This window comes from Homo sapiens, chromosome 1 (genome assembly GCF_000001405.40).
Source record: "Homo sapiens chromosome 1, GRCh38.p14 Primary Assembly".
NCBI lineage: Eukaryota > Metazoa > Chordata > Mammalia > Primates > Hominidae > Homo > Homo sapiens.
The window spans coordinates 83,792,401-83,817,717 of record NC_000001.11 but is presented as its reverse complement, the minus strand read 5'-3'; the positions used below and the strand labels follow the sequence as shown (position 1 = coordinate 83,817,717).

The following is a 25,317-nucleotide window of genomic DNA, read 5'->3' as shown; positions in this document are numbered from 1 at the left end:
ACCATGGAGGCCCTGAGAGTAATGATGAAGCTTAAGGGGTCTAGGAGTTGACCACATAGACAAAAGAGAGAAGAGAATTTTATCGTTTTTTTCTTCATCTTTCTCCTTTTCTCTACTTCCTGAACAATTCTTCACAAAGATTTTAGCAGGGACCAAGCAGAGTGGTGTTTTCCAGGTACAGTGAGGGGAGCCTCCATGGTCTCTCTAACAAGGGGAGGAAGGTGTCTACACAGGAGAGTCAGGGCCCAGCATGGAGTGTTGGAGCCTAAGTGAGGCAAGAAAGGCTGCCACCGAGGAAAGTGTCCAGGTGAGGAGACAGTGGGACAGCCATAGAGATGGACCAAGTAAGGAAATATGTTAGGAATAATGTGGGTCAGATTTTTCACTGTTGGAGAAGGTACTTCCATGTATGGAAATGAGAAAAAAAGAACAACGCTTTAGTGTTGTATTAGAAATGGAGTTATCAGTTTGAATTCATGATTTTCAATACATAGAGAAATATGAGTTTGGGGTGTGTGTGTGTGTGTGTGTGGGTGTGAATGTTTATTTTCTAGCTTTGTAGGCTTAGAGTGCCTGAGATCAGTGACAAACTCCTAGCAGTTAGTACAACCAACATCCACATGTTTGGTTGGTTCCGCAGATGGGCCAGGGCAATTACAAGGTGAGCCTGCACAATCTTGTTCTGGAAAGCAACGAAGCACTCAAAGAATGACGAGAACATGCCAAAAAGACACAGAATCCTGCAGGAAGGTGTTTCCCCATGAACGTAAAAAAGACAACAATGGTAACAGATTAGAACCTTTTGAATAAAATAAGAATCAATGTACTCATATTCATATAAATAATTGAATAAATAAATTGAAAATTTGATGAAGAATAGGATGGCTACATAGGCTAAAAATATTACCCACAAAATATATGTTAATTGCAAAAGGAAAAAAAAAGTTACTATCCAGTGAAGAAACCTGGCAGAAACCACCTTAGTTAAGTGATCAATGTTAATATTAGAAATGGAAAAAATCCAAATCATGTGCTGCCGGTAGGATGCAATGAGGCACACATAGCATCACTTCTGTAATATTTTTGCCAAAAGTACAAAAAGCTAACTCTAATCATGGGGAAACATCAAACAAAGATAAACTCAGTTACATTCCCCAAAAGCTGTCCTGTAATCTTCAAATATGTCAAGGTCATGAAAGTCAAGAGAACATGGAGAAACCATTCTGAGACTATGACAACTAAAAGCATTGTGTGATTCTGGACTGGAACATTTTTGGGAAAATGAGGAAACCTGAATGTGATCTGTGGATTAGATGGTAGTAATGTATAAGTGTTAATTTCCTAATTTTGACAGTAGATAATATAAGAGAAATAGATTTTTTATAATATGGGAGAATTATCATTGTTTATGATACATACACATCAAAGCATTTAGGGGTTTAGGATGTCATGCTAGCAACTTACTCATAAATAGTTTAAGGAAAACAGTTCTTGCTACTATAGGCACAACTTTTCTATAAGTTTGAGATTACTTACTTTAAAAAAGGTAGGGAGAGATAATCTCCTATGGGGAGGCCTGAATATGTTATGAGTTAACACTTTAGAGGGAGCTCCTTTTTATCCCATTGAGAATATAGCTCTAGAAAACACAGCAACAGGGCGGTGCCTACTGTGGCTCTCCATGTACAGCTGGGGCTGGGATTCTAGTCATGGGGACCAGGCCTGGCTTTGCAAGTTAGCAGTGAAATATCTTTAGTTACAGCATCTACTTTTTCTAGATGGCTATTTTGTCCTCTGTAAAATGAACGGTGGACATAGCCTCCTTCCTGCCCTAAAATTCAATACTGTCATTTCATCTTTTAATATATTATAGCTTACCACAGGCTCTGTGGTGCTTTTTGTTGCAAAGTTCTCCATATCCATCTGCCCAAGGGAGACCCCTAGCTCATATAGTGTCACCTAGGTTGTCAGTTTGGCCACCTCTGCCTGGATTAATCTTTGTCTGGCAGGCAGGATTAGTGTCTGATGTGCAGAACTCCAGAAAGGAAGCATACCCTGGCCTAACAACACAGGGATGGCCTTTGAGATAACACTCTCTTCTGTCCCATATAACTCCAGAAGTGTAACTTGAAGCTCAGTTGGGAACTTGCCACAGAGAATGTTCCCTTGGAGGGCCTCCAAATGTTAATTCCAGAGATGATGGTGTAACAAGATGACCAGCCAGATGGGAAGCCCTGGTTCATGATGGGGTTCTCATCTCTCCACACCCAGGCCCATCTGAGTTTCAGAACACATCAGGAAACTTTAACAACCTCCACACATGCACATGCCAACCACACATAAGAAATACTCGTTCTAGTTGACATTTGGCCAATGGAAATTAATATGCTATAGTGTGCTGAGAATTCTCTTTCCTTAATAATAACCAGACTTAAGAGAATGAGAACAAGATGCAAGACTACTGAAAAATGAAGGGCAATCATCTGTATATCATATTTTTTCATCTAATGTAAATATCCAAATTCCAAAGGCAATTGGTTTTATATATAATTTAATTGGGAAGCATTCCATCAGGTATTTGTTATTAAGAATCAGAGATGTATCAGGAGGACTTGATTGTTTCAGGAAGAACACCAACAGGATTTAGAAGTTTCTTTGACCAATTACTGAAGTGCCTGGCACATAATTGATGCTCAGTAAGTATTTGGATGAAGGCATAAAAATATATTCACCTGTGACAATGATGATCCACACTGTCACATGCAGTGGACTCAGTCAGCTAACTATATTTTTAAAATATTGTGTAATTTAGGTTCTCTTAAAATTCCAAACCAGATGGAGATTAAATGAGAATTGGTTAAAATTAATGCATAATGTTTCCTGAATAAAATAGCTCACTCAATCTGAGAGGCCTTTTCCTGTTTGCTGGAATTCTGTTTCCCTTATTATTTTTTCAGTTCCAGGTAAGACTGTTTCGGGGGAGACTTTCTCCTCCAGATCCCACCTCTATAATCTGGCAGGTAAGGGCACCATAAACTGGAATGATGCTTCCTATTTGTACACTGAGATTTCTCTAGTGCAGCTCAACCCTGCCACAGGGATGATGGTTTGCTTGTAAAGCTTGGGTAATGAATAGCCCAAGATTTATTTTCACATTTATTTAGGACAATTTTCTCTCTGTCACTGTGCCAACACTATCAGCACAACTCAATGTTGCATAAAAAAGCACAAGCTTTGGAGAAAAAGAAAAAGGTCTGGGCTTAAATGTCTGCTCTGCCACTCATCAATTGCCTGACCTTGGGCTGGTTATTGGACATATTTGAGCTTCATTTTCTTCACAGGGTTGTTGTTCCAGTTAAACAAGACTACATTTACACAGTTCCTGGCACCTAGGAGGCCTGCAATTTAGTTCTCTTTTAGTTAATTTCCTGTGGGTCCATTTTGCTTTCTATCACCTCAGCTTTCTTGTTTTTCTATGAGCCCTTCCTAGTTCCCTCTTCTCTCTTGACTAGTCTAAAGCAAATCAATAAACACTAGCTCACCCTGCAGTTGGAACACCCCTGTAATGCTGTTACTTGGTCAGCATCTCCTTGTCCATCGTGAAGGGAAGGTAAGCATTTGGGATTCCTAGAGGTGCCCTGGTTGCCTTCCTCCAGAACCGAATTGTCTTACTTTATTCCATGATGGCATCAATAGATGCATGCATAATTTTTCAGCTCATATTCCTGATTTAAGTTCATATTTCTCCTCAATGTATACAGCCCCATCTTAAGATTTTTTCCCTTAGGGATAGGTTCAAATTACCTTGCCTCAATGTCTGTGGGTATTGAAGGTGGAGACACCAGCAATTACTGCAGTTAGCGTTTAGTACTGCAGTTATCTCCAAACCCCTGAGTGGCTGTCACCTATCATTAGGATCATTAGGTATTATGGTGTGTTTTTGGCACAGTAGACAGAGTGATTCTTTAAAACATGCCAGATAATAAATGACATTCTCCTGCTCAGTGCCCTCCAGTGGCTTCCCATCTCACTAGAATAAACCATCAGGCCCTCACATCCCAGGGCCTACGTGACCCTACGCGATGTGACCCTGCCTGCTCTCCAGTCTCCTCTCATTCTCTATCTTATTGGCTATGTTCCAATGCCACAGGCCTCTTTGCTGTTTCCCATGTCAAAGAACTCAAGATCCCACCTCAAGACTTTTGTACCTGTTGTTCCTCATGCCAGAATATTGATCTCCCCATATAGCTATACTATGAGGTTCTGCTCAAATGTCACCTCCTCAGGGAGGTCTTCCTGGACTACCCTGTCTAAATTAGCACTGGCAATCATCACTCTCTAGCCCTTAATCAGCGTTATTTTTCTACATACACAAACACACACTTGTTATTTATTTAAAGCCTAATTCTTCTTCTAGAATGTAGGACTTTGTTTCCTTCACTGGCAGTATTTCCAGTGAATAGAATACAGTAGTGCCCCCTTATTCGAGGTTTTGCTTTCTGTGGTTTCAGTTACCCACGGTCAACTGGTGTCCAAAAGTATTAAGTGGAAATTTCCAGAAATAAGGAATTTGTTAGTTTTAAATTGTGTGCCTTTCTATGTAGTGTGAAGAAATCACATACCATTCCATTTTGTGCTCCCTAGAGTGTATCCTTTTGCCCAGCACGTCCATGCTGTATATACTGCCTGTCTACCAGTCACTTAGCGGCCATCTAGGCTGTTAGATGGACTGTAGCAGCAACATAGTGCTTATGGTCAAGGAACAGTTATTTCACTTAATAATGGCCCCAAAGTGTAAGAGCACTGTGCCTAATTTACACATTAAACTTCCTCATAGGTGTATATGCATAGGAAAAAACCTCGTACTGTATAGGTAGGATTTGGTACTATCTGTAGTTTCAGCAGCCACTGGGGGTCTTGGAATATATGCCCTGTTGTTAAGGGGGAACCACTGTAGTGTTTGGTCCAGCAAAGGCACTCAGTGACTGAATGAAGTAATACATTAATTTAGGAATAGCCCTGAGGTTATTATGTAGTTTGGTAAGAAAAGGGCTGTGAAACCACTTTTGCTCGAAGACATTGTGATGCTATGTCTCCATAATATGAACAAGAACAGCAATGTAATAGCTTCCATTTATTGAACATTATGATGCTTTGCTCAGTAGGAATCTACAAGTTGTTTGTGATCATTCATAAGCTTATAATTTTATCACTTTGGTCTGTGGGAAAAATGTGCAGTGGTTTATTATAAGGTTATTACAAAGGATATGTGCAGTTTTTAAACTACTAAATGCACCATGAAAATTATATTCTCCTCTATTGATGTACACAGAATGTGGTGTCACAAGAGGCCCTCTTACAATTTTAGTCCTTTCTCTGACACATTTCCCGATACTCTACCTTCCCCTTACCATCTCCTGGCAAACAAATACAGACAAAGCCTCCTGGAGCACATGGTTGGGATTTCAAAACGTGAGTGCTAGTTCTGGACAGGTCTGGTTTAAATCGATGTGGACTTGAATGAGTTACTTAAAGTTTCTATGTCTCAGTTACTTCATCCCTTAAATGGGAATAATGATAGCACCTACATTATAGATATGCACTGAGTAAATGAAATAAGACATAATGTGATTAGCGTTAGCTGAGTGTGGTAGCTCATGCCTGTTACCCCAGCACTTTCGGCGGCTGAGGTAGATGGATCATTTGAAGTCAGGAGTTCGATACCAACCTGGACAACATGGTGAAACCCTGTCTCTACTAAAAATACAAAAATTAGCATGGCGTGGTGGTGTGTGCCTGTAATCCCAGTTACTTGGGAGGCTGAGGCCTGAGAATTGCTTAAACTCAGGAGGCGGAGGTTGCAGTGAGCCAAGATGGCACCACTGCACTCCAGCCTGGGTGACAGAGTGAGATTGTTTAAAAAAAAAAAAAAGACATAATGTGATTAGCATTAGCATAAAGCTATCACTGAACAATTATTAACATAGAAAAGGGCCCTAAGCATTTGGGACTTAGGACAGGCAGTCCTTGCCTCCCCAGAGTGTTTTCTTCTAACACGGGACAAATAATTTTCTTTAGAATATATTTTTAAAATTAGTCTGTGGAAATTTGTACAAATTCGCCAAATATGCAATTTGAAATGATGTCATATTTCTGCTGTATAAACACCTTTTGAAGGTGTAATTGTCCTCTCCGTTTTCACTGTGGTCAGCTATTGTACTCAGCAGCTACAAGTCTCGACCCTTGGGTGGAGTAGGTAAGTTTTCAGGATTTGTTTTGTTAAACTATTTTCATTTTTTTAAAATTGTTTATCTGTTTTCAGTTTTAGGACAAGTCGCAGCAATTGCTTTACAGAAAATGTTTTACTCTCTCCTAAATGTTGTGAGAGAAGTGGTTTCAGGAACAGGCCTAGGCTATGTCTGGTTCGCTGTGTGTGGGGTCAGATGGGAATAGAGCTCCACCAGGAGTGGATGGATTCAGGAGTCACGCAGTGGGAGACGAGCTCCTGTCCCTCCCTTACACCACGGCCACTCTATAACTTGGCTCTTTCTCTTTCTCTCTCTTTTTTTTTTCTTCTATTTTTCTTCTTAGCAAAAGCAGGCATTACTGACCTCACCAGGGTGCTAGGGCAATTTTATTAGTATTCCTTTTATTAAGCATCAGCTTTTATGTGGAAGAAGAAATATATATTCTTTTATATGGTTGCACACATGCACGCACACACACGTGCACATCTGAGGCTGGGGAGGACCCACAGAGACCTCCAAAAAGAAGAGAATCCAAGGGCATATCCCTGAAACGATCTTGAGTCAACTTTTAGAAGCAAAAAATTGCTCAAAAACAACTCTTTGTCTCTCTAGGGCAAATCTTATATAGGAAATGTCAGTGCAGAGCTCTGCTACCACGGCCAAGGTGTGTATGTGCAGAGATGGGGGTGTGGGCACTGGGGTAAGAGGGAGAACAAGAAACAGATATTACTCTAACAGAAATCATTTCCTATTTCTTGCATATCTTCCCACTCACAATAAAATATACTTTTCCAAATCACACATCAGCTGTTTGCAGTGTCAGAGGCAGAATGCCTGGGCTGTAATTTTTTTTCCAAAGGAAACTAAGAAATAGGTCATAAAACATTAATACTGCCTTAAAATAACTTAGGGTAGGGTGATCCCAAGATGAACTTGAGTTGAGCACCAGAGGGAAGCCGTACCTCCAGAGGAGAAATTTCATTAAAGAGGACTTGCCCTTTCCACAGAGAGGTCTAGGTCTGACTTCTTGAAGCTGGGAGGGCTTGTGTCACGCTGAGTGGGAATCCCAGCCACTTCACACATCTGTGGAGCACACCTCTCCTCCAAAACAGAAATAACTGGGGAAGTAAGGCAACTTCCTTCTTCTAAACAAAGGGACTCTGACACATCATCTGGGCCCATTATGGGGTGTTTTCAAATTTCCATAAGCTCAGTCAAGTTTAGGATTTCACTAATTTGGACATGTGATCACTTAGGAGGCACTAGACTGAAATACAGAGTAGTGGTTCAGCGCTCAACTTTAGGAGTCAGACCTGGCGAGAATCCTGGCTTTGCCACTTATTAGCTGTGAACTTGAACAATTTATTTATTTGCTCTCAGACTGCTTTCTCTTCTGTAGAACTGAAACAATAATACCTAATTATAATGTAGTTTTGAGGATTAAATGAGATAAGGAATGCACAACAGTTTATGATTTAAAAAGTCACTTTTTCATATTAATATTTACATTATTCTAAGCCCTTATCCTACTGATTATAGAAAGTCCAATTTTCTATTGGATCCCCTTTCTCCAAGATTTTGTTTGTTTATTTTATTTTGGTAGTTTTGGGGGAACAGGTGATTTTTGGTTACATGGATAAGTTTTTTAGTGGTGATTTCTGAGATTTTGATGTACCTGTCACCTGAGCAGTGTACACTGTACCCAGTATGTAGTCTTTTATCTCTCACCCCCCTCTCCTCCTTACCCCAAATCCCCCAAATCTATTATATTATTCTTATGCCTTTGCATCCTCATAGCTTAGCTCCCACTTGTAAGTGAGGACATACAATATTCGGTTTTTCCATTCCTGAGTTACTTAGAATAATGGTCTGCAACTCCATCCCGGATGCTGCGAATGACATTATTTCATTCTTTATATGGCTGAGTAGTATTCCATGGTGTATATATACCACATTTTCTTTATCCACTTGTTGCTTGATGGGCATTTAGGTTGGTTTCACATATTTGCAATTGCGAATTGTGCTGCTATAAACACGCATGTGCAAATGTCTTTTTCATATGATGACTTCTTTTCCTTTGAGTAGATAGCCACTAGTCTCCAAACTACTTTGGGGAACATCAGAGAAAGCAGCTTTTTTTCATTTTTAATTTTTTAGTTTTTTAAGATGGCGTCTCATTCTGTCACCCAGGCTGGAGTGCAGTGGCGCCATCTCAGCTCACTGCAACTTCTGCCTCCTGGGTTCAAGAGATTCTCCTGCCTCAGCCTCCCAAGTAGCTGGGATTCCAGGCATGTGCCACCACACCTGGCTAATTTTTGTATTTTTAGTAGGGATGGGGTTTCACCATGTTGGGCAGGGGTCTCGAACACCTGACCTCAAGTGATCTACCTGCCTCGGCCTCCCAAAGTGCTGGGATTACAGGCATGAGCCACCATACCTGGCCCAGAGAAAGTAGTTTTAAGTTCTACGTGTTAACCGGGTAGTCATTATTCCACTGAACAATTTCTGCTGCTCCAAATGTCTTGTGTAACCTCTTGCTATTGTATAGCTCACTTCTCTGGACTTGAATTAAAATAAAGCTCCAGCTAGCCCATATAGTGCCTTTGTGTCAATCACCAACAGGTGATCCTTCCAAATAGGGCCATGACTTCATGAACAGACTAGGCCTTTAAATGAATTAGAAAATGATGTCCTCTCTTTCTGAGTGGACTCAGCCCCATGTCAGAGTCCACAGTTTGTTGAAGAGAATGCTGGCTGCATTTCAGCCCTCACTCCTCTCCTTAGCCAGATGCTTTTGGATGATTAAAAAACCAATACAACCTTGAATAACAGGCCTAGGTAGTCCCTGGCTGCATGTAACATAAAACCCCAAAACAACACTGGCTTAAACAAAATACAAGTGTATTTCTTGCTCATGTAAAAGGAGGTAGGACTTCCAAGGTTGACCCGATGATACCATTTCATACTATCATCAGAGTCCTGGTTTCTGTTTTTCTGCTCCACCATCCTAAGTATGTGGCTTCCAGTATTAAGGTCATTTAATGGTCCATGATAGCCTTAGAGCTCATGCCATCTTATCCAAGTTCTAAATGGTAGGAAGGAGGAAGGATTGAAGATGAGTGAGCCCTTGTGCACATAAGGATTCTTTTGCATACATCTTGTTGACCAAAACTTCATCATATGACCACACCTGTCTGCAAAGGAAACTGAGATATGTATTAGCTAGGCACATGGTTATAGGTGCTCCTATCATTGAGGAGGTGGGGAAAATGGATATTAGGGGTGGGCCATTGGCAATTTCTCATCTTACAAGGCTTTTCTCATTTGCAACTCTACTCTAGGCGGGGACCTAGAGTACTCCCTTACAATTACCACTCCCTCGCCTGACTCAAAACAGCTAAGAGTCTAATTTAATAAAATTTAATTGAATGCAGAGGACGATAAGAAAATAACACTGCAGAGAGCTGAAGGCAATATTGCATAATGGTTAAGCACATTGGCTCTAGAGTCAGATTGTCTGGGTCAAACACTGGCTCTGTGATAATTTCTTAGCTATGAGACTATGGGCAGCATTTTCCCCTAAACTTTCTGGGCTTCTGGTTTCCCAATCTGCAACATGATAGGGTTGTTATGAGTATTAAATGAAATGATACACATGTAGTCCATTTAGTACAGAGTGGCTGTATTCCTACAAATTAGCACTCTAAAGGATTTGAGGGCAGACAGACAATGATATACCTCTGGCCATGGTTTCTTGTAGATCCCACTTACAAGAATATTGGTTTATCCTTCCACTCTGCAGTGATATTTATGAAGTGATATTTATGAAAGACCAACCAATACCTAAGTGACTGCTGATCTTTACCCTTGGCTTGCTTTATTGTATCCTTGAACAGCCAGAAAACTTGCATTTGAAGAGTTAGCATAATTCTCATTCTTTGTGGCAAGTTGAACACTTCATTTGTTTACCCTTGTCAGCCATTATGCATTAAAACTATTTGCCAGAAATAAATGGCAGAAAGAGAATGCACAGAGGGGTGAAGACTACAGAACGCACTCAGCTCTTTCAGAGTGTTTCCAGCATCTGACTCTGATGCTCATTAGCCACAAGTCAGTGGTCTGGTCTGCCCTGCCAGCTCTCCTGTATTTATCCAAGTGGGAGTGTATAGACTATATGGGATGGCCATATAGAAATACTTACCTTCTTAATTTTTTTTTTATTTTGAGAAAAATATTTTAGAGAAAAATAGAAATATAATGTGTCAGTGCTGTGGCAGGTATCAAACAGGTTAGAGGTGTATATGAAAATCATACTACTTAACTGAGAGAAAGTCCTCAAAGTGTTCAGTGAACAAGCAAAAATGATTATATATACGACTGTCAACAGTGATTCCTTTTAGGGTTTATAGGCTCTGATCCCCATTTGAAAGTCCTTGCTTTGCTCTCTATGGGCTGCCAAGCAGCGGAGGTCCCACTTCTCATGGGAATCTCTGGCTCCCACAGTGCTTCCCCTTGTCAGATACCCCGAGTTTCTCAGTCCACAGCATGTGAGATTGGTGGGGATCCTCCCTTGCCGCTGTCCAAGGCCATGGTGTTTCCTGTCTGAGCATGACTGACAGTGGAAACTTATTTTCTTCAGGGGATGCTCCTAACCCACCCAGAGGTACAGTCTGAACTCTATTGTCCTGACAAGACAATCATGAAAGTTGAGAGTACATTGCTCAAAATGTAGGTTTTCTGCAACTTAACTAATTCTGTATGTGGGCGCCAAATTTCTGTCTAAATCTGTATTTTCAAAAAAAATTTCTTTACATAAGCAAGGATATAGCATAGTTAAAGCTAGCTTTAGTTTATATTGTAACAAATACAACAATATCTTGATCTATAGCATCATCATTAGGACTTGGAGTGACTTCACAGGTTTTTTTTTCCCTCTAGACAACTATGGATAGGAACTAGCTTTTAGCTTTACAGTAGTAATAGTAAACTTTCCTGATAATAATATCAACTCCCTGCTCCCAAAATTATGTCCCAAAGGTCTCCATCTAGAGAAACTGAAAACTCTCAACCACTCCCAAATGGCACTCCAAATGCTTAAAAAGAAAATAAAAATTCTTTTTTCACTGGGGAACCAAATTGCTAGTGTTTAGCACATGATAAGCACTAAAACAGTATCTATTGTTCCTACCTGTTTCTTTCCAAAAAGGACTTTTTGAGTAAAGGACTTATGTAAAATAAGGTTACAATATTGTAAAAACAGGATCATGTGAAAAACAAAAAAGGCCTGTATTCACTGCAAAAGGCAGTATATTACTGTGAGCTTCCTTGCAGCAAGGACAAAGAAAGGAAATTCAGGAAGCTTTTTAACTCGGGGATGAACACGCACATCAATTCTGTAAGGGAGCAAGTTTTTCATGGCAGTGCATCCTATAGAAGACATTGAGAGACATAATAGGCAGTGTCCTTGAAAAAGCTAGAGGCACGGGGTTTTTGTGCAACTTTACACAATTCTAAGGGCATCTAGGCTTATGAGGAGGTCTGCCTGCGCTGATAGGCAGACATCAGAATACTTGGGGGAGCAGAAGAGAGGCGTGTACTTTTTAGGCTTGCTTTTTAAAATATTCCTTCCTCTTAGACATTTGAGGATGAACTGTCATTTTCAGAAGATGTGATAAAGACCAGAGGAATATTTGATAGAGTTGAATTTGAGCTTTGGAGAAATTGTATGTGTGTATGTATGTATGTATGTATTGCTGAGTGCATTGAATGTAATTGCAGACATGTTTATAACTATTTAAATATTAAATACAAGTTTGTTTATTCAAGTTTTTAGTCATAAAAATACAGAAATTTAACTAATAAAGAAAAAATTACCTACACTCTCATAATCTTAATATGATTACTCTGGTAGTTTAAAAAACTTTTTTTTTTAAGTTTTGTTTTTATTTTTATATCAGGGTAGTTGAAACAATTTAAAAATTAAAAAAAATTTTTTGCAGAGACAGGGTCTCACTCTGTCACCCAGGCTGGAGTGCAGTGGTGTGATCATGGCTCACTGCAGCCTCAACCTCCTGTGCTCAACAAATCCTCCCACCTCAGCCTCCCAAGTAGCTGGGACTACAGGCATGCAACACCATGCTTGGCTCATCTTTCAGAGATGAGGTCTTGCTATGTTGCCCAGACTGGTTTTGAACTCCTGACCTCAAGCAATCTTCCCACCTTGGCCTTCCAAATTGCTGGGATTACAGGCATGAGCCACATCCCCCAGCTACTATGGTGATTTAAAAACATCCATAAATTACTTGATAATCTTTCTTTCCAAAGAAGAAAGCTAATTCTCCTCCCTTTGAGTAAGAGCTGTACTTAGTGACTTGATCCCAACAAATAGAATGTGGTAGAAGTGAGAATGTATGACTTTCTAGCCTGGGTCACAGCAAACACTGTGGCTTCCTCCTTGTTCTTGGTTCACTCACTCTGGAGGAAGCCAGCTGCCACTTTGTGAGGACACCTAAGAAGCCTATGTAGGGGCCCATTTAGCAAGGAATTGTGCTTCCTGGCAATAGACAACAAGAAACTGAGCCCCCACTGCCACCAGCCATATGCATGAGCCTTCTTAGAAGCAGATCCAAGAGCCCCAGTCCAGCTCTCACATGACTGCAGCCCTACCCAATAGCTTGACTGCAATCTTCATGGAAGACCTTGAGCCAGAACTACCCAGCTAAGCTACTCCCAAATTCTTAGCATGGAGAAACAGTGAGATAATAAATGCTTGTTGTTTCAAATCGCCGAGTGTTGGGGATAACTTAGTCACCCAGCAACAAGAAGCTAATATAACCAGCATTAATACTCTTCTGTTTATTTACTTCCATTTTAGCCCTCTGCTGTAGAGATGCTTGTGCTTGATAGGTCCAATCAAAATGTACATAAACTTGTCTCCTATGTTTTTCACTGAATGGTGGAGATGCAGTATAGTGGATATAGTGGAATGACTGAAAATGCAAATCATGCAGTTAGCTTACTTGGGTTTGAACCCTGCCTCTTCTCTTTCTGTGTGATTTTTGGTCTGTCATTTTCTTTGTGCTTAATTTTTCTATTTAAACTGGAAATGATAATAGTACATTGGGTTATTGTGAGGATTAATGAGTTTATAAAATGTTTAGAAGAGTATCTGGTGCATAGTAAGCAGTCTAGAGGAGTGAGCGATTTCTATACTGCATAACTTAAAAAAGTTTTTTTTCTTGAAGACAGGGTCTCACTCTGTCATCCAGGCTGGAGTGCAGTGGTGCCATCATAGCTCACTGCAGCCTTCAAATCCTGGGCTCAAGCAATACCCCCATCTCAGCTTCCCATATAGCTAGGACTACAGGTGCATGCCACCATGCCAGGTTAATTATATATATATATTTTTTTAGAGACAGGGTCTTGTTATATTTTCCGGGCTGGTCTTCGACTGGCCTAAAGTGATCCTCCTGCCTTGGCCTCCCACCAAAGTCTTGGGATTATAGGCATGAGCCACTGTATCTGGCCATATAACTATTGATAATTACTTTTAATGACTACATAATACTATCTCTAGAGAGGCACCATGTTTTCCTCATCATTTCTCTAATATTAATAAGTTAGGTTATCTTGAAATTTTTTGCCATTATAAATAATTCCATGATAAACATATTGGGCAAAATACAATTTCATCAGATAATCTCAATATGTAAACATTGAAACTAGCTCAAAAGTGCTCTTGAAAGTGGTAAGACTATGCTTTAAAAAATTCTGTAGTTCAGATTGTCAACTACCCAATCTACACTTCTGTTAATGAATGACTTTGCAGCTTTAAGTGTATTTATATTATGTGTCTCTTCACGAACCTTTGTTGTAGCAGGTCTGCATGTAGTCTGAGTGGAAATAGCTCTTAAATAGAGGCTCAGAGATCTCAGGCACTGACTTCAGTTGAGTTGTGCTGCATCAAAACTCGTAAGTGAGCTAAAGCCCAGGTATTAGGGACCATGGTTTTAGATAGCTGGGGATCAAGAAACTTAAGCTTAAGTTTTGGTGCTGCTGCTTACTAGCTGTATGAGTTTCAGCAAGGTCAAGGCTTATTTTCCTCATCCATAAATGTATAGGATAATAAGTCTTACCTTATATGGGGTGTAATGGGGATATAACAAAGTAGCTTTTGTCCAAGTACAAAGTAAGAATAAAAGACTGTTATTATTTATAGGACTGTGAGCTTCATGGAGACAAGAAACTGTGCTTTTTTTCTCCTTCCTGTGAATGAATCCCATTGCAGCTTTGATTGTGGTTGAATCACCTATGGAAGCCATGCATCTTCAGCATGTAGCACATAATGGACACTCAGCAAATGACAACTGAATGAGCAAACTAATTACTCTGACCTTGAGCAGTGACTTGTGTGACCTCTGGCAATTGGTTCACCATCTGAATCCCTCAGCTAGATACCTCCCTCTAATGCTGCTCCTCCATCGACAGGCATTCCTCAGCGGTCAGTTGTTTCCCAGCCAGAGCCCGCACTGGCACTGATGTCTGCTATTATCACTGGAGAGGCCCCGGGACTTCACTTGATGCTATCCCACTGGGATGACTGAGAAGAAGTAGGAGAAAATCAAGCAAAAGCGTGGGCTCGTCTAAGTGTTTCCTCATCTGTTTCTTGGTATCTTCCTTGCTTCCCTGCTTCTCCCAGCCCCAGACTTCCTTGTCTTCTCTCTTCCATCCAGAAAGACACACATGCCCCTTCTAAGTATCACTTTAGGGCTGAAGTCCAAAGTCTTCTCTTAGCTGAAATTCACTGTGCACTTGCCACTTGGCAGAGACTGCAAACAGCTCAGTGCGTGTTTTCATAGTCAGCATTAAAATAATAATTGCCACAACACTATTAAAGTTTTCCTCATTGTTGTAACTGTTGGCAAAGGCAAATGTCTGGGGAGATTGACTCCCTGGAAAGCTTCATTATGCTGCGAGAATATTTTTGATAAAATTTCAGCAGTTCCTGACTGTCAACTTCACTATGTGGTTTTTTTTAAAGTTGTCCCCCACCCCTCTCTAACAGGTCCTCCAATTCACAAAAACATTCAGGTCAGTTGTTGAGTAACTGAATCTTTCCAAGTAATTAACAGGTAGAATTACCAGGTAGCAGGCAGTGTTTGCTTGTAATCCGTCAATAGTAGTTGCAGTGGGGCTAATTGTCATCTTGAGTGGCCCTGCAACCACATCTAATTAAAAGTGTCAACAGAGAGTTATTTCTGTCTTTTGTTCCCACTGCTAGGTTGTACGTGTTTACTTCAGAAATCCAGGCTCAAAGTAAGACAGATATTTGGAACATGTGAATATACAGGAAAAACATTCCCCAGCAACTCAAAGTACGTAAAAGCATTTAGGCCTCATTCCTCTGTCCACCTGACTTTTTTGGTTTGTATTAGTTTATATATTCAAGGCAGATATACAGTATCTGATAAATGCAAGAGGGACATGATGCCTTTTCCTAAGCAGCAAAGTTATACTTTGCCAACTTGACTGGGAGCTGGGCTGAAGGGACAAAGGCAGGAGTCTTTTAAGACTCACTAACACTTACCTAGTAATGGCAGTGGCTGCCACTACAGCTAGGTTTCTTGCCTTTGATTCATATTCTTTCTTTCTTTCTTTCTTTCTTTCTTTCTTTCTTTCTTTCTTTCTTTCTTTCTTTCTTTCTTTCTTTCATGCTTCACTGAACTGTTTTCCAGTTCAAGGTAGGTAGATCTGCCAAAACTAAAAAGCCTAGATTGCATATAGAACATGCCTGGATTTACAGAGCAAGGATGCAGGAACATATTTTTCCATCAGCAGAGTCTGGGTCTTGGCTAACTTAAAGTTTTGTGACTGTTCTTGGGATCAGCCCTGGGTGAAGCCTCTGTGAGGTCCAGCTGACTACTTCATTCTCATAAATACTTTCTTTGAAATCTCCTTGATTGAATAAAAGCATTTCTTGTTTTATATTTAGAGACAGGATCCCATTTTCTTCCTTTCATTCTTTTTTTGTTGTTTTTTTTCCTCCTGACTCACATATAGAATCAAGATGTTGGGTTCCAGAAGCCCATATGCTAATTCACAGATGGCTTTTAGGGATAAATTTTTTTCTTGCCATTTGAATCATTTAGGTAATGTGCTTTATTTTCCAATACAGAATAAAAAACACTCTAAATAGACATCAGTGTCATATGGTGCCTAATGATTTCTTCAGGTACTGCAATCAATATCATTTGGTGATGGTAGTGAATGAGACACAAATATTACTATGAGGTTTTTCTTGGACTTGCTTTTTTGAAGATTTCATTTAAAGTTGAATTCTAAAATGTTGAGAATACAACAGCCGGTATTCAACATTTGTTTTGAATTTATATCTAATCAAGATAATAGATTCTCTTCATACCTAAGAAGAAACTAAAAAAAAAAAAAAAAAAAGGCAAAACTAGGATGCAAGAAAAAGTGATGTACTTACAACCAATACGTTCTATTGATATATTTTAACTTTAATATTAATTGATTTTTTACTGGAAAGGGAACAAGTGAGCATGCAGAGAACCAGTGCTTTCACGAGGCATTGCCATAGGCATTCAAAATCTATTTGGTTTTAGTAGGTCATCATGCGAAGGGAAAACCAAACATGAGAAAGAAAACTCATTGGAAACTTACCTCTATAACATTCAGATGATTAAAAATCTATTTCCTCCACACCCACATCTTTTATTAGACAGCCACCAGCAAATACACAGGTGATCCCTGTAACTTTAGGTATAAAGAACAGAAAATGTGTTACAAGCCTATCCACGATATAACTAAGCTTCATTGTATAAGTCCCACTCTTACAGGGATTTTTGACAAATTCTGTGGCAACCTGACAGATGTGTCATAATGTCTAATTCCTTTAAAACCCCAAAGCTCTTAGAAAGTAGATGTTTTAAAAGAGCAGATTGGAAAACATGCTGTTCTTGTCTTGAGCTTTTTTCTTCAGTATCTGTACTGCCCCCCAATCCCTTCCTTCTGCGAAGTACTACAGGAGAGGCAAGATGTAAATCTAGCATTGAAATAGTACTAGGGAAACAGGAGCTAAATAGGATTTCCCTGCAGCTGAAACAATAAAAATAGAAAGAGGTGAACCTAAATGAGCTGGCCTTTCCCCAACTAAAACCCCAAAGCTCTACCATTTAATAAGAAGACTGCTTCAACTGAACCACTCCATGGCAGCATGCCTGCATACCTGAGTTAAAGAAATACGTTCCAGATTGGAGTCTGGGAGGGCAAGAGAATAAAAGTAGGGATATTCTCATAATGAAAGAAATAAGAACTGCCTCTCCCCCGTCAAAGATCCTCCCCAACCTGCTCAGTGTTTTTGAGCTCAGGTCCATATTTCTAAATTGTATAAATCCATGCTTAGAGTGCAGCATGGTGCCAGATTCAGTGGAGGCCAGGAGATGCTTTCATGGAGTGAAGTGACACCCTCAGAATTGCACACAGTTGTGAGGTCTGCTTCTGAGACATTTGGACAACTGCCATGAGGAAGGGAGGGAGGAAATTGGGCCAGTTTGCCTTCTGTTACAGACCAGCCTTTTGGATGACAGAATTCTTTCCAATCAAAATGCCATGGATTACTCCCTGCTGTGAGCTAATAGGGTGCTAATTAGCATATTTCATTTATTTACTTAACTGGGATAGAAACCACTGGGCACGTGGCCCACTTAGAATGGTTTCCTGGGGAAGCTATGAACTGTTCTAAGTGTTACCTTCATGCATTAAGGAAACCAGTTCACAGAAGCACAATACCAGGCATTCCCCCTTCCTTCTCCCATCACACCTCCCTCCCCCAACACACACACAGGCAGTACAGACAGGGGCTTGAGTCTAATCTGGTCTCACTTCAATAAGAATCTGAAATGAGAAATGAAATTGCATGGCCATTTCCCATAGTTCATCTCCATAAATGGTTTTTGGCAACTGCATGGACCATTCTTGACTTGCTGCTTCACCTGTAATGATGACTCTGGGGCATCAGCAGAAGCAGAGGCCTCTCCTGATCTCTTTATCACTCTCTCTCTCTCTGACTGGGAGCCAAATTCACACAGCAAGTGAAGACTGTTGCTGGGTCCCAGGGCCCTCTCTGGACTATTAACTTGGGGAATCTTAAAACACCTGTTTGACATAGTTTTCTTTTTACTTTGGGAACAACTCACTATAATTCTCAAGCTGCACTGAAGTACTTTTAGGTTCTTTGGAGTTCCATATCTGTTAATCTCTCTAATGGCATATTTTCAGTTTGTTCAGGGACAAATCATTAACAATGTGCAATGAAAACAAAGCAGCCAAAACCTCCTATGCAAGGAGGAATGGATCCCAATCTCAAATTTCTTCCTGTGGTGAGGGGGCCTGTATGCTAAGCAGGAATACCAAAGGGCTGAAAAATAGGCAGTCAATTGTCTACCAAGAACTCTGCTTGAGTGGGCAAAGAGAGAGAGAGAAAAGAAAAAGGCAACCTTACACAGTAGGGGTGTTTTTCTCCAACCTGGTAGAAATCAATATGTGTAAGGGCTTTTGTGGTATTTCTGCATAATCTTTATTTCTGAGGACTCAGTTAACAGCACCATGATACTCTTAGTTGTCCAAGCCTAAAAATCTTGGTGTCATCGTGAATATTTTCTCTTATTCCAAGCAGTCACTAAGTCTTGTCATTTTTGCTTCCTGATGCTTTTCAGCTGTGTCTTCCCTCCTTTTCCATTGTTACTGCCAAGTTCAGGCTAAGTCACCTGCCACCTAGACCCTTGCTACTTAAAACATGCTCCATGGACTAGAGCATAAGCCTCACTTCGGTGTTGGCTAGAATTTCAATGACTCTCTCACCCTCAGGACAAATCAGACTTCGCCTTTTAACAAGGCCCACACATGATTCATCTGTCCATTAAAATTTGAGGAGCACTGAGCTAGGCCAGCATAGGCTGCCATCTTGCTTGCTTCTGCCGTCTATTTCCTCTCTGCCTCCCATACACATCCTCATGGTCCACAGATCTGTTTATGATATTCTTCTGCTTAAATGCTTCCTGGCTGGGAGTGGTGACTCATGCCTGTAATCCCAGCACTTTGGGAGGCCGAGGCGGGTGGATCACCTGAGGTAGGGAGTTTGAGACCAGCCTGACCAACATGGAGAAACCCTGTCTCTACTAAAAATACAAAAAAATTAGCCAGGCGTGGTGGCACATGCCTGTAATCCCAGCTATGGGGGAGGCTGAGGCAGGAAAATCACTTGAACCCGGGAGGCAGAGGTTGCGGTGAGCAGAGATAGCGCCATTGCACTCCAGCCTGGGCGATAGAGCGAAACTCCGTCTCAAAACAACAACAACAACAAACTTCCCATAGCACTCTATAATCTATAGCAGCTGTGATATTTTCAGTCCACAATATCAGGTAGCCATAAAGCATAGCTTTATTTTTCTATATGGAACATAGCTTCTATGTCAGGTTTTCTATACTGTATGTATGACGGAGAATTTCCTAGTTAATTCTAGATGATCACAGTTACTTCATGTTAGCTCAGCCATTTCAAATTTAAACTTAGTTGATCATGATTTGCTGTTCTTTACTTCTCACCTCATAGTGACATCAAAAATCCAAGGGATCTCTATAGTTTCCTGGTATCATCTGGAAAGTTCATTGGCCATTTGCTGGTGTCTGTCCATGTTGGAGCAGGTCTTCAGGCACCGTCATCACTCCACGCTGATGTTCACCAAGTGGCCAGACCCCCATGTTTCCATATGGTCTCTGAGTTTACCACCTTTTCTGCTTTCTCTTCTGGCATATCTTTGTAATAAACTTTGGGATAATTCTTTTCTTTTTAGTTGATTTATGAACCCATCTTGGGGGATACAGAAAGACTTGACTGTTCTCTGTGGCCAAGAGATGCAGCGGGGCTGCCCAGATCCTCTGTAACCCACACACACCCACAGCTATTATTCTCCAGCATTTGTGTCTGGGCACCTGAAGTTTCTAATATACTTTTCAGCTTTTCTTCTTCTTCTACCACCCCAAATTTTGCACTGTATCCTATCAAATGAAGCACAGATTCCTCTGTATCTTCAGTCTCTTTATAGAACATCTCCTTCACTTTAACCTAAACTTTGTATAGGCTCATAATAAATAAATAAATTAGTAATAATGATATTCTACCAAGTACTTATAATCTTGAGGCCTTCGAACTCTGGGCCTACTGATATTGCCAGCAATATACCATAGAGAAAACTCAACTCACATGGTTTTATGTGGATCACTTAGTGTCTTTGCATCCACATGTAAAATGCTTATAAGAATTATGAAAGGAAAATAATTCTCAGGACCCCCAAATCACTAAGCCAAAGGGAATAGTCAAGCTGGGAACTGCTTAGGGCAAATCTGCTTCCCATTCTATTCCTAGAAAAGATAGCTGGGCACAGTGGCTCATGCCTATAATCCTAGCACTTTGGGAGGCTGAGGTGGGTAGATTCGAGGTCAAGAGATCGAGACCATCCTGGCCAACATGGTGAAACCCTGTCTACTAAAAATGCAAAAATTAGCTGGGTGTGGTGGCACGCGCTTGTAGTCCCAGCCACTCGGGAGGCTGAGGCAGGAGAATCGCTTGAACCCAGGAGGCGGAGGTTGCACTGAGCCAAGATTGCGCCACTGCATTCCAGCCTGGCAACAGAGTGAGACTCTGTCTCAGAAAAAAAAAAAAAAAAAAAAGATAGCTACCAGAATAAAAAAGCTACATACTTTCTTTGTAATTTGACCAAAATGAAATTCCTGTGGATAAAGAACAGATGGAACTCAAAGTCATCCCTTTGCTCACATGACAAATGCCTGTCTGATTGCTTCCTTTGCCCTATTGTTTCACTAAGCCAGACGAAGGCATAAGTGGCTATTCCTGTAAATCGTGTATTCAGTGAAAGAATCAGAAACTCAGAAGAATGCAACTGTTTGTCTTTTATCTACCTGTGACCTGGAAGCCCCCTCCCCTCTTCAAGTTGTCCCACCTTTCTGGACTGAATCAATGTACACCTTACATATATTGATTGATGTCTCATGTCTCCCTAAAGTGTATAAAACCAAGTTGTGTCCTGACCACCTTGGGCACATGTCATCAGGACCTCCTGAGACTGTGTCACAGGCACGTTCTTAACCTTGGTAAAATAAACATTCTAAATTAATTGAGACCCGTCTCAGGTACTCTTGGTTTATAGAATAATACTCTGCCAGATAATTATGATATACTTCGAGACCCCTGGGAGAGCAAAACCATAGGTAGCCTTTGCATTTCTCAGTTTGTCCTATTTTGTCCAGAAATGTTCTCCTATTGTATTTTCACGTGCCTTATTTCACCTATTAAATATTGGGCAACCCATCGGGAAGTAACTATTTCCATACTTTATTTTATATCTTCATAGTAATTAGTACAATATTAAGTAAACAGTCGATATCTATTGAATGCATATCAAATTAATAAATATATAGAATTCTACTCCTGTATTCACTGAAATATGTGAAATGCCCTCTGTTTCTGGGAAGTCTATGATATGGCTTGTTGCTTTATTCAAAAGTGTCTTAATTTTAATATCACAGCTGTTTCTTAATTTAAACCACTAATACATGGCTTCAGAGTTATAGTGGTACTTTGTCAGAGGTTAATACCAAGTGTTCTTATTGAGGGCAACATCCTTAGAAACTAAACAGCACATATTGAACAACAGTGTATTATCCTCTCATTCAGGAATGTATTAGTTCAGTTGTTAATAAATTAATGAATGAATGAATGTACTTACTCCTCACTGATTTATTTAAATCCTCCCAGAGCACTTATTTTGGAATTCTTACCTAATTTCTCAAGTCTTGATTTGAAATCTCCATCTCCATAAAGCCTAACACCTTCTATGTTGATTTCCAAATGGATGTGACTCCCTCTTTTTAAACATTTGCCGTATTCTATCTTGTAGAAATTTACTATTTTCCTGATCAGATTTGAAATTCTCTTCAGAGTAGAAACAGTATGGTCCTTCTTTCTGCGGCATAAAAAATGCCATACAGTAAATGTCCCATAACGATTTGAGTCTGGTCAACTAAAATAGCAGGACATTCCAGTTTTATTTTTGAACATGTGATATTATTTCTTGTGGAAATATTATGGAAACTATCAATAAATATTTTGGTATTATAGCCCACATCTCCTCCTAAGAATTCTTCCTAATAACTGAGCTCTCCAAAACATCAGCAAGTATGTTATTTGCTAGAAACTTCTAGGAAGAAGGGAAAGAAGAGTCTCTGATTTATTTATTTACTTATTTACTTACTTACTTATTGGTTAGTACCAGGCTGCTCTGGGCTCAAAGTGAGGAAGAGAATTTATGACTCATTCAAAATAAATGTATAATAATACAATTATTTATATATCTTTCATTGCCAATGCCTTAAATCATAAATGTATCCACATTTGATATGTATTCTGCTCCTCTGAGCGTCCATGTCGTTTCTACTGGAGAAGTAGCCATGGATCTTATGAACTGGTATGCAGTAAGTTGATTCAAGCCCCAAATCGAGAAGCTTTCCCTAAAGAGAAAGCTACCTTTCCAACTGGGCACCATCAGTTATGAAATACATAACCCTGGTGAAAACACTTAAAAATTAGACTGCAACTAGGTTTTCAATTTTAGGGAACACACTGAATAACAGTTGTGACTGTCTTTCATATATTATAGAAATAAGATAGAACATGTTTAGGGCAAATAAGAGGCAAAATAGTGTCATTATTAAAGGTACCGAGCTAGCTTTCAAGTATCAGTGGGCTGGGGTTTCCCTGGTTTACTCAGAATAAGACCTGATAAAGTATGTGAAAATGCAAGTCAAATTTCTAAGTCTAGCTCTCTGGGCTATGCTCTTTCTAACGGACCAAGTATTAAAGCTGGTCATGAAATCTGCATGAATCTAGCACTTCCTTTCCTTAGTAATTCAGTTTTCTTGGTGAGCAGATTATGAGGGAATGTTTTGGGGGAAAAAGAATACTGTACTTGGAAGACCAAAAGCATTGATGGAAAACTACGCATATCCTTCTCCTGCTTCTTTTGAGGCTCAAGGCTATGTATGGGCTTAGAGGAAAGCCAGACTATCTTTCATGAAACCTCCCACTCAGAAACTTCTGTTAAAGGATAATTTTATTCCTCAGCTTACCCATGAGTTTCCTAGAGGTCATTCTAAGGACATGTTTTTTCTTATTGTATGTAATATAAGACAGAGAAGGTCATATGGCTGTAAGCCATAGTTGCTGTTACAGGGAATGTTGTGGTTTGAGAAGTGTAGTAAGTTATATAAACCAAGGATGTGGCCCAGGTTTGCTGTCTGTGGGAATGTGGAAATGGAGTTATTCTTCAGTTCTCTGGTTAATTAGTTAATTGTTAGAGGATGGTGAGCAATATACAGGTATATCAAAACTTGGAGAATTTTAACCAGTTTTTTTTTTAATGCCATTACTTTTAATGGCAAAAACCACAATTACTTTTGCACCAACCTAATATAAGGTTGGAAACATTCTAGGAGCTGCAGTTGAATATTCTGTAGCATGACAGTCCATGAAAGCAGAAAATCTTTGTTAAACAAGGGTGGCTGGGCAGGTATGTGAAGATGAAGTAGATGAAGTCCCTCTCATATTTTGGTTTCCAAAACAGGGCCTTTATTTATTCTTTTGGAGTACTTGATACTTGTGAAATGGAAAAGTGCTAAAAAAAAAAAAAAATGACCTCTCCCTCTCCCCTGGAATTCCAGGACAATCTCACCTTCTGCGTCTAATAGCCTACAACGGGAGAAACTAAGAAGCAACATGGGATTTGGAGGGATAAAAACAAATATGATCTTTCTCCCCTAGGATGTAGCAATGGTTTATGATCCAAACCAGCAAACATAAAATTATTGGAGAAAAATGTACAAAACAATGGAGAATAAGTGGATGGAAGACAGTGACCTGTGAACTCTGCAGTGATGGGATGTTTTTTTATTGCCCTGAGGTCACTTTCACTAAAGCTGATGATACCTTAGGCAAAACCCCCTCCCCAGACTTTTTGGTGGGCAGATTCTGTTCCAGGTCTCCACCTCAGGATTTTCAAATCCAGTCATGTGTCACTAAAAGATGGAGATATATTCTGAGAAATGCATGGCTAGGGGATTTCATTATTGTGTGCCCATCATAGATGTAGTGTACTTGTGATATACCCTATATGTAGTGTACACAAACGTAGATGGTATAGCCTGCTATACAACTAGGCTAATGGTATAGCCTATTGCCCCCAGGCCAGTTGCTCTTAGGCTACAAACCTGTACAGCATACTCTAGACAATAGTAACACAATGGTACTTGTGTATCTATACATATTCAAACATAGAAGAGGAAATACATTGTGCTATGACATTCCATCACCAGGCAATAGAAAATTTTCAGCTCCGTTATTATGTTATGGGATCACTGTCCTATATGTGCTCTGCCATTGACTGAATGCCATTATGTGATATATGACTGTACCCATATCTTAGAGTTAACCTAGAGGTGGTGGCCTCAGGTAGTTCATAAAGGCTCTGGCTCACGGGATACCAGCTAGACATAGCATGTTGGCATTTCATCAAATTAGGCCATGTCTCCTTGGGTTGAGTGATTAGATGAGATGTTCAGTGAGAGCTGTATGTTGGTAAACTAGAAAGGTCACCTTTTATTCATCACTAGATACAGATGAATTTGTAGGTGCCCTTGGTGTCTCATTTTGTAGACATTATATATCCCCTTAGAGCTGGTGGGTCATCAGAAGCTGGTGAAATGCTCAGACAGATAATGTTCACATTAATAACTGGGGTTTTCATGGCAAAAGCAGAACAACCCACTCTTTAGGAAACACACTGTGATCCCTTTGGGGTAAATGCAAAGCTTGATGAACTCCTGCCTTCAGTTGGTGTCCATATACTGGTTGGAACACCTGACCTTGGGTTTGGAGAGAGATGAGAACATAAAACTGAGATTCCGTATTATTTGT

The 25,317-nt window shown here is 40.0% G+C and overlaps 2 long non-coding RNA genes across 2 annotated transcripts in view, besides 1 other annotated feature; both read left to right on the top strand.

Annotated features, from left to right (window-relative positions):
• LOC101927560 (uncharacterized) overlaps positions 1-16,202 on the top strand; it is a 59,031-nt gene extending 42,829 nt beyond the window's left edge. Inside the window, exon 3 of the long non-coding RNA NR_119374.1 lies at positions 14,467-16,202. This is a non-coding gene — a long non-coding RNA (uncharacterized LOC101927560). The remainder of the gene's footprint in view (positions 1-14,466) is intronic.
• The window catches only part of LINC01725 (long intergenic non-protein coding RNA 1725), a 285,210-nt gene that overhangs the window by 43,279 nt on the left and 216,614 nt on the right, over positions 1-25,317 (top strand). The gene's annotated exons all lie outside the window — the stretch shown is intronic.
• Positions 23,043-23,122: a silencer, noted in NCBI's record as "silent region_1009". NCBI's record gives its function as "represses an Ori minimal core promoter by ATAC-STARR-seq in GM12878 lymphoblastoid cells {active_cell/tissue: GM12878}" and the evidence as "EXISTENCE:reporter gene assay evidence [ECO:0000049][PMID:35858748]".